Below are 13425 nucleotides of genomic sequence, written 5' to 3'. Positions count from 1 at the left end.
TTCTGCAGTTTCACAGGATTTGTGCTTCTCATGTGTAATGAGAAACTTAAAAATATAGCAAAATTGAAATAAAAATCCGTGCAATTCTTTCAGGAGCTTTGATAACTTGTATTGTTACAATTCTTAACATAAAGAACGGAGAGAAGCTTGGAGACTTACTTTCCCCTCCTACTGTCCTTCTTTCCCAGATTCCCTGTGGTCTGATGGTAATTATTTTGGGGTTGTTTGTATTCTTGTGCCTATAAATGGCAGATCTTTACAGGGAGTAGATTTGCAGCAATTAAGAGCTAGACTTTTGAAAGCTCACTCATTCCACGTCTGTTCGCATTTCCACTCCCCTCAGTGGGATGAAAATCAGAGGGGTGTAATTAGGGACTTCAGCTCTAACACCGGCCAGTACTCTGCTTGGGAGTAAGTTTCTCCCTGAGATGAACTTCAGTTTCCTTATCTGTAAGATCAACGTGTTCATACTTACTTTCAAAATTTGGCATGAAGACTAAATGCAATAGTAAATGTAAAAGAGGAACTCAGTGTTTAACAAACAGCAGGCACATAACTGATGGTGAACTCCTTCTTTTGTTATCTCTATCCTTCTACCAGTTTTCAGAGAATGAGGATAAGATTCTGTTAGCCGACAGAACCAAGCCAGAGGAAGGGAGTGCAGATCTACTCTGAGGTAATAATGTAAGCAGTTCAGAACTCTTCTCCAAAATCTGGCAGATGCTGCATTAAGAATGCTCTCTTTGGAGTCATGTTAAAAGGCTCCATAACAGCCATTGAGGAAATCATACCACACCACACTAAGTTCTTGAACCACTTTTGTATCATCAGGACGATGCTATTCAAGGAACAGAGGGATGTATTAGTCTGTTCTCACGCTGCTAATAAAAACATACCTGAGACTGGTATAGTAATTTATAAAGGAAAGAGGTTTAATTGACTCACAGTTCCACATGACTGGGGAGACCTCACAATCACGGCTGAAGGTGAATGAGGAGCAAAGTCACCTCTTGTATGGCAGCAGGCAGGAGACGCTTCTGCAGGGGAACTCCCATTTATAAAACCATCAGATTTCGTGAGACTTGTTCACTACCACGAGAACAGTATGGGGGAAAACGGCCCCATGATTCAACGATCTCCACCTGGTCCTGCCCTTTACAGGTGGGGGTTATTACAATTCAAAGTAAGATTTGGGTGCGGACACAGCCAGAGCATATCAAGAGATATACAGATGAATAACAGAGTCCTTGTTGTTTTCATAAAAGTTAATGGAATCAGCTGGGCACAGTGGCTCATGCCCATAATCCCAGCACTTTGGGAGGCTGAGGTGGGAGGATCACTTGAGGCCGGGAGTTTGAGACCAGCCTGGCTAACATGGTGAAAACCTGTGTCTACTGAAAATATAAAAAACTTAGCCCAGAGTGGTGGCACATGCCTGTAATCCCAGCAACTCAGGTGTCTGAGGCATGGGAATCACTTGAACCCAGGAGGCAGAGGCTACAGTGAGCCATGATGATGACACTGCACTCCAGCCTGGGTGACAGCGTGAGACCCTGTCTCAAAAAAAAAAAAAAGTTAAAGAAATCCACAACCACACATTTTTGATACCTTTAAAATGTGAACTAGGCTTTAGGGTATGGGAGACAGAGAAGAGGAACAGAGGATGAAAGAATAGAATCTAAAGGTTTTAAGCAGAAGAGGGCTTATGCTGCCCAAGGAGGCCAGGTGGGCTTCCAGGTCTAGGATGTTCACTGTGTCCAGCTACTGTAGACTTCCTAGGACTTATCCTTTCTCTCTAGAGGTCTCTTCCTGACCTCAATTTTCAGGAACAAACAAACTGGTGGCAAGGGAAAAAACTCTAACATTTTGCAATTCCAAAGGGACCTTCATTAACATATAATCCAACACTGTGGTTTATCCCTGAATTCTCTTTACAACTGTATGGCAAGATAACTCTAAATCTTGTGCTTGGGGATTCACTGATTTCTAAGTTGGAAGGTCTAGATTTTGTAAAACTTTGTCTTATGTTGATCAAAAATGCACCTTCCCGTTACTTCCATTTTGTTCCCCTAGTTTTACTCTTAAGAGAATTGAATAACTTTCTAATTGCTCTTTTCAAAACAGTATTTTAGACACAATTTTTTTTTCCAAGCCAAATATCTGTACCTTCTTCAAGCATTCTCGAAAAATATGGGATTCTTCACCAAACTGTTTACCTTTCCCTAACAATGTCTGTGGTGTTTATAATGCCCTTCAAAAGTACAATTACGAATAAACATTAAAAACTGTGGTTTGACAAAAGCAGAATAGAATGGAGCTATATTTTTCTTCATTGTAGATACTGTCTGATTTTCTCTCTACCACCTGTGCAAGGATCATCTTTAGTGATGGCCACAGCCAAGTGGTGATTCACACAGACCTGAAGTCTCTAAAGCATTCCCACAGATGCTGCTTTTCTTCCACATCTATAATGTGAAGATTTAAGGAAAGTTCAGGATGTTTTTTTTGTTGTTGTTTTTTCTCATTTAATGTCATCTGTTGATATTCAGCTCTTTCCTGCAGTTTATCAAGATATTTTTAGTTCAGGCATTCAAAGCATTTGCTGTCTTTTCCAGTTTCATCTGAAGTCTGATGATTTTGTTTTGCAGATATAAACACAGTCACTAATAAATATGCTTAACTGTTGAGAACAGCCTTATGGCCAACAACACATTTCCCTCCAGGTTAGCAATGGATCCTCAAATCTTGAGTCTGGGAACAAATCTACCTGATTTAATGAGTATTCAGGATACACTTTTCCATCTCAATAAGAGATAAAAACATCTCAGCCAGGCGCGGTGGCTCATGCCTGTAATCCCAGCACTTTGGGAGGCCGAGGCAGGCGGATCACAAGGTCAGGAGGTCGAGACAATCCTGGCTACCATGGTGAAACCACGTCTCTACTAAAAATACAAAATATTGGCCAGGCGTGGTGGCGGGCACCTGTAGTCCCAGCTACTCGGGAGGTTGAGGCTAGAGAATGGTGTGAACCTGGGAGGCGGAGCTTGCAGTGAGCCAAGATCCCACCACTGCACTCCAGCCTGGGCGACAGAGCAAGACTCCGTCTTAAATAAATAAATAACAACATCTCCTAACATATCTCACTAAATGCTTTGTAGACATACTACCACATTTTCTGAATTACTAGGTTGGCAACACTATCAAAAGTAAAACTGAAGAACAAGTGAAATGTAGTGGCTAAGAGTTTAGATTCAGAAGCCAAGTCACTTAGATTTGAATCGTGACTCTGCCACTTTCTCACTATGAGAGCTTGTGGGACATGTATGAACTCTCGATGCCTTAGTGTCCTATTTGATAAAAAGAAATAATTGCACTGACCTTAAATGGTTGTTGTAAGGTTTAAACAAACACAAACATATTTGGAGTGCCTAGCATACTTAGTAACAAATAGAATTATTAATGATAATATTAATATATTGGCATTAATAGAGATGCATAAAGATATTCCATAACTCAAAGCTTCTTTGCTAGTTATAAATTTGCTTGATTCACAACTAAGTTATCAAAGAATGAAAACATTTTTAACAATTAAAAAAAACGGTACATAGAGTGGATCTACCCCATAGAGCTGTTCTAGTAAACAGAAGAGGCCTGATGTCCAAGCAGTCTGGAAATCTCCACTGACTATGGTAATTGGAGATCTAGTGCAAAAAACTAATCTGGGAACCACAGGCCTCAGTCAGCAGTCACTGGTCATATGAGTGGTCCATGCATAAACAATGAACTCCCAGTTATCAAGCTGAAGTTCAGGTAGAGAGATTCAGTCCTTCAGACCGAATGACAACCAAGGGCAGCCTATGGATGACCAAAACTCCAAATATCTGTTAGTCTAATGGGCATCATTGGTCTCTCTATGGATTGGCTCTCCAAGGGAACTCTTACATCTGAAGCATAGATAACTACTAATAGCCATGCTATATTTTGCAAGAAGATTTTGCTCTTTGAAATGTGTGCCTATTGCAGACAGACGCTTCCTCAGAATGTCAGTCCTATTACTCACATAGTGTGATTATTCAGCGTTTGAGGAGAGCTAGTCAAAGACCACTCAAAGGAGCTATAATGTAAAATAAATGATTATCTGTTACTTATTGTAATAAATGGAATTTCACATTTTTTCTTTAAATTACAGATGATTTTGTTGCCCTCCACCAAATATTTTAATTTTACTTGTTTATGACTGTTATTTTACTTATTTGATAACAAAGGTAAAAAGTGATCCCAACTCCTATGTTAATGATATGTTTATTCTTTTATGCCACATTTATAGACAGATCAAGATATCCCAACATTGTGATTATGTCATCAAATATATTTCAAGTTTTCAGTCAAGATCTAGATTGAGTGTTTGCAGGTAAAAACTTGAATTCCTTTATGTCTATTTACCTGGGTATATTATTAAATATTATCATTGCCTGTAATCTAAACTCATATGAGTTCTTACTGATTATGTTATATCAGGAAACACCAATCATAGCTAATTCAAATATGACAAAGCTAATGACCTCTATTAATTTATCTGCCCTTACTTAAAGTGTCTTCCTTCACAATTTTTAAGGACAGAGAGAACCTTCTGTTAACTAGCATTTTCCAGACAAATGTATAGAATTCTGTTTACGGCTAGAAGCCAAAAAATAAAAGACCTAGTATTAACTGGAATTATTTATGTATTTATTTCCCTCTATTAAACCTCTAGTGTTTTAAAATACTGAAATAAAATAGTCACAGTGTTCTGGGAACAGTGTACTCTCTTTAAGTTAGATAACATAAATTTGTGATGGGAAAACTTTGAACTGAAATTTCAGTCTCCCTTAAGCAACTTTCAACAGCTTACATCAAGTACAATAAACTAAGAGCATGTAAAGTCAGTTTCTTAAATCAATCCATGTTATTCATCCACAAAAGTGTGTTCAATGATTGGGTCTGTTCCACAAAAGAATGAAAGCAAGTGAATTATGGAGAAGTTCAACATTTCTATAAAAGACTTAAGTTTGTAAAATTTATACTTACTTAAATGGCTTTCATTATGAGATATTCAAGGAAATCTGACAGAGATTGGATGATGAGTGGATCTATTTTTTCTTTGCTTTCTTCCTTTTTTTTTTTTTTTTGACAATGTCTCACTCTGTTGCAGAGGCTAAGTGCATTGGTATGATCATAGCTCACTGCAGCCTCTACCTCCTGGGCTCAAGGGATTCTTTCGCAGTAGCCTTCCAGTACCTGGAACTGCAGGAGCCACCATGCCTGGCTATTTTTTTTCACTTTTTGTAGATATGGCGTCTGACTATGTTCACAGGCTATTCTTGAGCATCTGGTCTTTAGCTATCCTCCTATGTCAGCCACCCAAAGTGCTGGGATTACTATAGGCAATCCACCGTGCCCAGCAGATCTATTTTTTTCTAGGCTAAATTGCCCAATCTGGAAGGTAAAGACAATTCTTCCCAGCAGAACATGAAAGTAGAATGAAACAGTAGGAAAAGTGGACAATTTAAAGAGAGAATGCCAGCTTAATATGCTGCAGTTGAACTCATTAATTTGGATTATAAATGCAGACTCAATTCCAGAAATGACCCACGAACTGGAAATTTCAGGTTCCTACAGAATATTATGGTCAAATACAGAAAAGGATAGAATAATTCCTTTATTTGGACCCTCAGCTGAGCTGAGATCCTAAGAGCCAATGAAATTTAGGGGTTAAGATTTTAGGCTTCAAATTGACAGGCTTGGTCTTGTCTGCGCTCTATCACTGGCTAACAGTTATTGCTGGTCAAGTTATTGAACATCTCTAAGAACCTGTTTTCTTATCTATAAAAGCAGGCTAGTACTGGAATGTAGGAAATGGTGAATGAACATTTGTTAAGTGAAAAAAATATTTTAGAATCATCTATTTTATTTAGTTTTCTCTTTTGTGGGAAATGTAACACAAGTTACAGAATAAGAAACAGATAATTGTGCCTCTCCCACCAATTTAATCACTCTCCTCCTAAACTCATGAAAGCAAGTGTACGGGTTGCCTTTACGTCTTCTTTCTTTTTATTTATTTTTTTAATGTAGCTCATGATATTTTCTCATGGGTGAAGTAATTAGAAAGATGGTATTTAAAAGTATCAGCGATGGGATTCAAAATCTCAAATTCCATAGCATTTGAGCTTTGAATATATAATTATAGTCTGAAAGTGTTGGGTATGAATTTTTCTCTGATATCATGTTTTATATCTCTGGCAACATCTGACAATAGCCTGTTTAGAAATATATATTTTTCTGTAAATGTATGAGTGATTATGTTTGACTACCTAACCTAAAAAATTAAGGTAAATATTTGGAAGGAAACAAGCGTTCTAAAACTGAAAGGTAGAAAAGTATAAGCAGAGATAGCCATAAACATTATAGGAAATAGCAATTTCAGTAAGCCAGATGAAATAATGTGATCTGAAAAAGTCAAAACTAAAATACCTATTAAGAGTAATGGCCAAGCCATGCTTGTTTCAATCTTTTCTTTTGTTTATGATTTTAAAATATTTGCCAACTATATGATATGCATTGTGGAGAAAGGAATACAATCCTTTAAAATACAAAACAGGTTTATGTTTTGGACCAATATAAAAAAATGCATGCTAAAATGTGAAGTCTAATAAGGCTTTTTTTTTTCTCAATCTGGAAATAAAAAGGAGAAAAGAAATGTGATCAAAAACATTATCAGTAGTTCACCTCACTACAATGAGAGTACACTCAAAGACTGATTTGTTAGGTATATTCATTTCTTCTTTTTACCAACAATCAGCTAATTTTTCATGTAATGACTTACTGGTCTATCACAATATAATGGTTGATTTTGCTTCATTTTTAAAAATAGAGAAATAAACTTACTTTTCTGTATCTTTTTCATAATCCAAAGGAGTCATTTTTATATTGAAGACAGTTTTCTCCCACCTGAAGTCAATGGAGCTGATAAAACTTTCACTTATTGCTTTGTACCCCAACTCTCCAATCCACAGTACCTGTCAGTAGTTACCAAGCAACAGTGACAAACGTGTGCCTCCTATACATTGGCATTCACTGCCGTTATGCTGTATTGTACGGTGAGTATGTTTAAATAAGAATACAACTGTAGATGAGAATGAGACTCTTACAGTAAACAAGGATAAGTGGAGACAAATGAACCCTTTACTAACCATCTGTCTTTGACATTAGGCAATTTACAGGCCTTTTTACTCTTATCCTTTATGTGTAAAGATGTAAAGATTCCAAGAGCAATTGATCTTTTTATGAAACTTAGAAAAATGTATATTCATAGTCATATTCAACTTAATGGGTATATGTATAGTTATATTTGAGTAGCTTGAGGATGAAGGATTTTGAAGGATAGTGAATATGTAGGTAGGTGTTCTGAGACAGGGTTGTCAAGTTATAGGTATAAAGATAAGGATCTGTAGATTCTCTTCCCTGACACGCATTTTGTTTCAAGTTTGTTCACTAGCTCTTCAGTAGCCATTCTCATCATAAATTTAGGAAGAAAATAGTTACAGTGTAAAGATGCTGAAAGTCGATCTGTTTGGAATCAGCAGTGTGGGCCAGGAGTCATTGTTCTATGTGCCATTTTTTTAAAGGGATATTGTGAAATACGGAGAAAAAGATATCTGAGAAACAGAATTGTTTTGTTTGTTTATGAGAACAGTCATTTGAGTAGCATTATACAAAAAACACGGTCTTTTCACATAAAGCTGTAAAAGTTATCAAAAAGGCTTTTCCACTGGAGTATGATATCAAATTAGTTAGCCACGATTGAACCAGGAACATGATTGAACTAGGTTTTGAAAGAACATACCTCAAAATAATAAGAGCCATATACAACAAACCCACAGCCAACATGATCCTAAATGGGAAAATCTGGAAGCTTTTCCACTGGCGTATGATACCAAATTAGTTAGCCACAATTGAACCAGGAAGAAATTGAATCCCTGAACAGACCAGTAATGAGCTCTGAAATTGAGGCATTAATAAATAGCCTACCAATAAAAAAAAAAAAAAGCCCAGGACCAGACAGATTTACAGCTGAATTTTACCAGATGTACAAATAAGAGTTGGTGCCATTCCTACTGAAACTAATCTAAAAACTTGAAAAGGAGGGACTCCTCCCTAATTTATTCTATAAGGCCAGCATCATCCTGACAGCAGAACCTGGCAGAGACATGACAAAAAAAGAAAACTTCAGGCCAATATCCTTGATGATCGTTGATATAAAAATCCTCAACAAAACACTGGCAAACAGAATTCAGCAGCACATCAAAAACTTACCCACCATAATCATGTATTCTTGGGATGCAAGGTTAGTTCAACGTATGTTTCATATGATTCATCACATAAACAGAACTGAAGACAAAAACCACACGATTATCTCAATAACTGCAGGAAAGGCTTTTGATAAAATTCAACATCTTTTCATGCTAAAAAGTCTCAATAAACTAGGTTTTGAAAGAACATGCCTCAAAATAATAAGAGCCATATACGACAAACCCACAGCCAACATAATCCTAAATGGGCAAAATCTGGAAGCATTCCACTTGAAAACTGGCACAAAAAAAGGATGCCTTCTCTCACCACTCCTATTTGACATAGTACTGGAGGTCCTAGTCAGGGCAGTCAGGCAAGACAAAGAAATAAAGGGCATCTAAGTAGGAAGACAGGAAGTGAAACGATCCCTGTTTCCAGATAACATGATTCTATATCTAGAAAACTTCATAGTCAAACAATCCCTGTTTCCAGATGACATGATTCTATATCTAGAAAACTTCACAATCTCAGCCCAAAAGCTTCTTAATCTGATAAACAACTTCAACAAAGCCTCAGCATACAAAATCAATGTGCAAAAATCACTAGAATTTTTATACATCATCAACAGTCAAGATGAGAGCCAAATCAAGAACATACTCCCATTCATGACTGCCACAAAAAGAATAAAATTCCTAGGAATACAGCTAACTAGGGAGGTGAAAGATCTCTACAAAACACTGTAGAACTACAAAGGAGAACTACAAAACACTGCTCAAAGGAATCAGAGATGACAAAAACAAATGGAAAAACATTCCATGTTCATGGACAGAGAGAATTGACATTGTTTAAATGGCCATGCTGCCCAAAGCAATTTATAGAATCAATCTTATTCCTATTAAACTACCATTGAGATTCTTCACAGAACTAGAAAAAAACTATTTTAAAATTCATACAGAACCAAAAAAGAGCCTGAATACCAAGGCAATCCTAAGCAAAAAGAGCAAAGCTGGAGGCATCATGCCACCTGACTTCAAACTATACTACAGAGCTACAGGTCTACAGCGCTATGGGCTACAGGGCTACAGTAACAAAAACAGCAAGGTACTGGTAGATGCATAGACAAATGGAACAGAATAGAGACCCCCAAAATAAGTCCACACACCTACAACTATCTGATCTTTGAAAAAACATAACAAAAACAAACAATGGGAAAAGGACTCCCTATTCAATAAATGGTGCTGAGAGAACTGGCTAGCCATATGCAAAAGATTAAAAGTGGACCCCTTACTTACACCATTCACAAACATCAACTCAAGATGGAATAAAGACTTAAATGTAAAACCCAAGCACAAAGATTTCATAATGAAGATGCCAAAAGCAATTGCAACAAAAGCAAAATTTGACAAATGTGATCAATAAAAGAGCTTCTGCACAGCAAGAAAACTATCAACAGAGTAAACAACCTCCAGAATGGGAGAAAATTTTTGCAAACTATGCATCCGACAAAGGTTCCATATCCAGCATCTATAAGGAACTTAAACAAATTTATAAGAAAAAAGAACAAACAACTCCATTAAAAAGTGGGCAAAGGACATGAACAGACACTTCTCAAAATATATGCAGCACGATCATGTGAAAAAAAGATCAAAATCACTGATCATTAGAAAAATGTGAATCCAAGTCATAATGAGATACCATCTCACACCAACGAGAATGGCTACTATTAAAAGTCAAAAAATAACTGATGCTGGCAAGGTCGTGGAGAGAAAGAAATTCATACACATCGTTGGTGGGAGGGTAAATTAGTTCAGTCATTGTGGAAGACAGTATGGCAATTCCTCAAAGACCTAAAGCCAGAAATACCATTTGACCCAGCAATCTCATTACTGGGTAGAATACCCAGAGAAATATAAATCATTTTATTATAAAGACACATGTATGGGTATGTTCATTGCAGCACTATTCACATTAGCAAAGACATGGAATCAACCTAAGTGCCCATCAATGATAGACCAAACAAAGAAAATGTGGTACATATACATCATGGAATACTATGCAACCATATAAAGGAATGAGATCATGTGCTTTGCAGGGACATGGGTGGAGCTGGAGGCCATTATCCTTAGCAAACTAATGCAGGAACAGAAAACCAAGTCCTGCATGTTCTCACTTATATGTGGAAACTAAATCATTAGAACACATAGAGGGGAACAACACATACTGGGGCATATCAGAGGGTGGAGGGTGGGAGTAAGGAGAGGATCAGGAAAAATAACGAATGAGTACTAGGCTTAATACTTGCGTGATTAAATAATCTGTACAACAACCCCCATTACACAAGTTTACCTATGTAACAAACCTGCACTTGTACCCCTCAACTTAAAAGTAAAAAAAAAAATAGCCACTCCCACCAAAACCTGTGACAATGTGTGACCACTTGAGTCATCACTCAGTTTGATCTTTGTAATCCCAAAACTAGAGAGTACTCTTCTATATTCACTTATTTTGATGAGTATATCTTTTCATGGTTTATCTGTTAAGTTTATTTGTATTAAATAATCAGATAGTTTCTGAAACTTCATTTAAATCTATTTTAAAAGCTATTACAATACTTGGAAGAAATATTTACTCTCTAAGTGTACAACTATGTTCAGTGAGCAAACACTACAGGAATAAAGATATTTGCTCATGCTTGTTCTCATAGATATCCTATAATGGAGGACAGTAAGATAAACACAATGAGTGTTTTTCAAGAAGATTATTATTTACAGTATATATCTATCCTACTACTATAATAGAGATGACTTAGTCTATGTTTATGTGTGTATGTATTTAACATAAAATTTATTTTAATTATAATCTATTTTCTTTATTCACATAGACCTATATAATTTATCTTCTTTGTACACATAGACCTATATAATTTATTTTAACATTAATTTATCTTTATATGAGTTAATATCCTATTAAAACTTTGATATAAGGTTGTTTTAAAGTATCTGTCCTTCATGTATTCATTTTGTAAAAAAGCAATTTTTTGAAAAACTTAGGTACATAGTGGTACAGATCATAAAAAGATAAGAGGAAAATCCCTAAGTGCTACGCAAATGATTAGAGATTGTCACGTTAATGAACAAAAGGATCTTGATAGTTCCTTACACATTTTAAATTCTGTAATTCTCTGAATGGCATTTAAATCTTACGTAAACTGGGCCTTCGAACCAACTCATCATCAGAAATTTTAATGTCAGAGGAAACGTAAAAGAGGTTAAGACAATTTTTCTGAGACTTGGCACTTTTTATAGCCATGGTATCCCCTTCAGGATATGTACCAAAAAGGATGTACACATACTAATTATATCAACCTGAACCTCAAAGTACTGGACGGATGGCTAAGCATACAAGAATAATTGGGACCTTTTCTTCACATTAACAAAATGAAATATGAAACATCTATTGAATATTCCAAAAGGGAAATATTTCTCAAATAAATAGTTATAGATGCTGTATTCGTATCAATGAATGTAAAGTAATCATATTTGTTCTTATTTTGTTTTGTGATTAGTAATAAGTTTTAAATATATTTTTGAGTCTGGGTATAGTTTTATATGGCAGGGATTACTTGAGATTTCATATATGTCAGATATTGCTTACTAAAACTCTACATTTTCTTTTGCAATTTACTTTATTTAACCATCACATTAAACTCCATGAAAAACCTAATTAGGAAAATATATTGTACTAGAGAACAATAAATCGATATTTTAATAACCATATGCTTAATCTTCCATCTGTTTACAGATTGTAAGTGCATTTTGTTGCTATCAAATATGAAAGTTTAGTGCCTGAATAAACAATACAAATGTACGGTTATTTAAAATATGTCCACAAATATTTTTTCTTATTTTTTAATACAAGGGTCTGACTTTATTTGTAAGAGTCAAGATTAAAGTTATAAATATAACTACTTTAAAACAGATTGTTCATGAGGTTAAAAATTAGGTCAATTGTCCAAACTATGACATTTTTGAGGAACTTAGGTCTACCAATTGGTGGGTGAAAGCAAAGGATGAGTCAACAGGGAGGGCAATAATAAATTTCAGAGAAAGAAAAAAAGAATAAACCCCTTCCTCTTAAATTCTGAAACGAGAGAGAAAAGGAGTTAGGTATATTAAAATCGCATTTTAAAAGCTTTACTGCTAGTGTTAGCAAAGTAAGATTGGGTGGCTTCATATGTGTTAAATGGAGACAAGGAAGCAGAGACAGGCCAAGAATAGTAATGCAGTGGCCCTTCTTCTATTATAAGTACTGTAAATCAGCTGTGAGTGCAAAGTAACCTGTGTTTCATAGTGCTTCTTCTTGATAAAAATACATTTAAAGGTTATCTAATTTTATCATCAAAATAACACTTAAAAACACCTAGATCAATGGTATTAACCAAATACAACAGAAGAGGAAACCAAAGCGTAGATTATGGGAATGTAATTCACAAAAGTTCATACAGCTCATTAGCAGCAGCAGGAGGAACAGAGTTTGGAGGCTGGTATAAAACATGTCTGCAACAAAATGGCTAGTTTCCATAACCTCTCTGAACCTATTTCCCATCTTTGAAAGTGGACTACAACTTTGTCTCTAGGATGTTGGAGGGATTAAATTGAATTAGATAATATTTGTAAAAGTGCTTCTCATGTGGTGCATTATTGAAGAAATGTTAGTCCCTATTCCCTCTTCCTACCCCTATGTCTTTATTCCCAATCCTGAGCTTTTCCATTATTCTACAGTGTCTTTTTCAAAACTATTTTAACTTGTAATGGATGAGAAACGTAATGTGTAATAGATACAAAGAGAAATATAAATATTGGCTCAGGGAGAGAATTCAGTTTTCTAATTAATAGTAGCAGGTGTGGTATGGTGCCACATAGTTTCGCAGAAATGTTTTTCAGTCCTGCCCTGCAATACCTGCTGCCTCAGTTGTCCATCACAACACTTGTTCTGTTTCTGCCTATGGCATGTTTTGTAAATATGTTTCGACACCTGGGCCTTTGTGGGATTTTATAGAAGAAATAGCAAGATACTCTTTTACTTATGTTTTCATTA

The 13425-nt window shown here is 35.9% G+C and overlaps 1 long non-coding RNA gene across 1 annotated transcript in view; it reads left to right on the top strand.

Annotated features, from left to right (window-relative positions):
* Nucleotides 1-4325: 4325 nt before the first annotated feature.
* The window catches only part of LOC107987056 (uncharacterized), a 52442-nt gene continuing 43342 nt past the window's right edge, over nucleotides 4326-13425 (top strand). Inside the window, exons 1-2 of the long non-coding RNA XR_001746637.2 lie at nucleotides 4326-4411; nucleotides 6953-7136. This is a non-coding gene — a long non-coding RNA (uncharacterized LOC107987056). The remainder of the gene's footprint in view (nucleotides 4412-6952; nucleotides 7137-13425) is intronic.

This window comes from Homo sapiens, chromosome 9, assembly GCF_000001405.40.
Source record: "Homo sapiens chromosome 9, GRCh38.p14 Primary Assembly".
In the NCBI taxonomy this organism is placed as follows: Eukaryota; Metazoa; Chordata; class Mammalia; order Primates; family Hominidae; genus Homo; species Homo sapiens.
The sequence above is the reverse complement of the archived record's forward strand: the minus strand, read 5'-3'. Positions and strand labels throughout refer to the sequence as shown.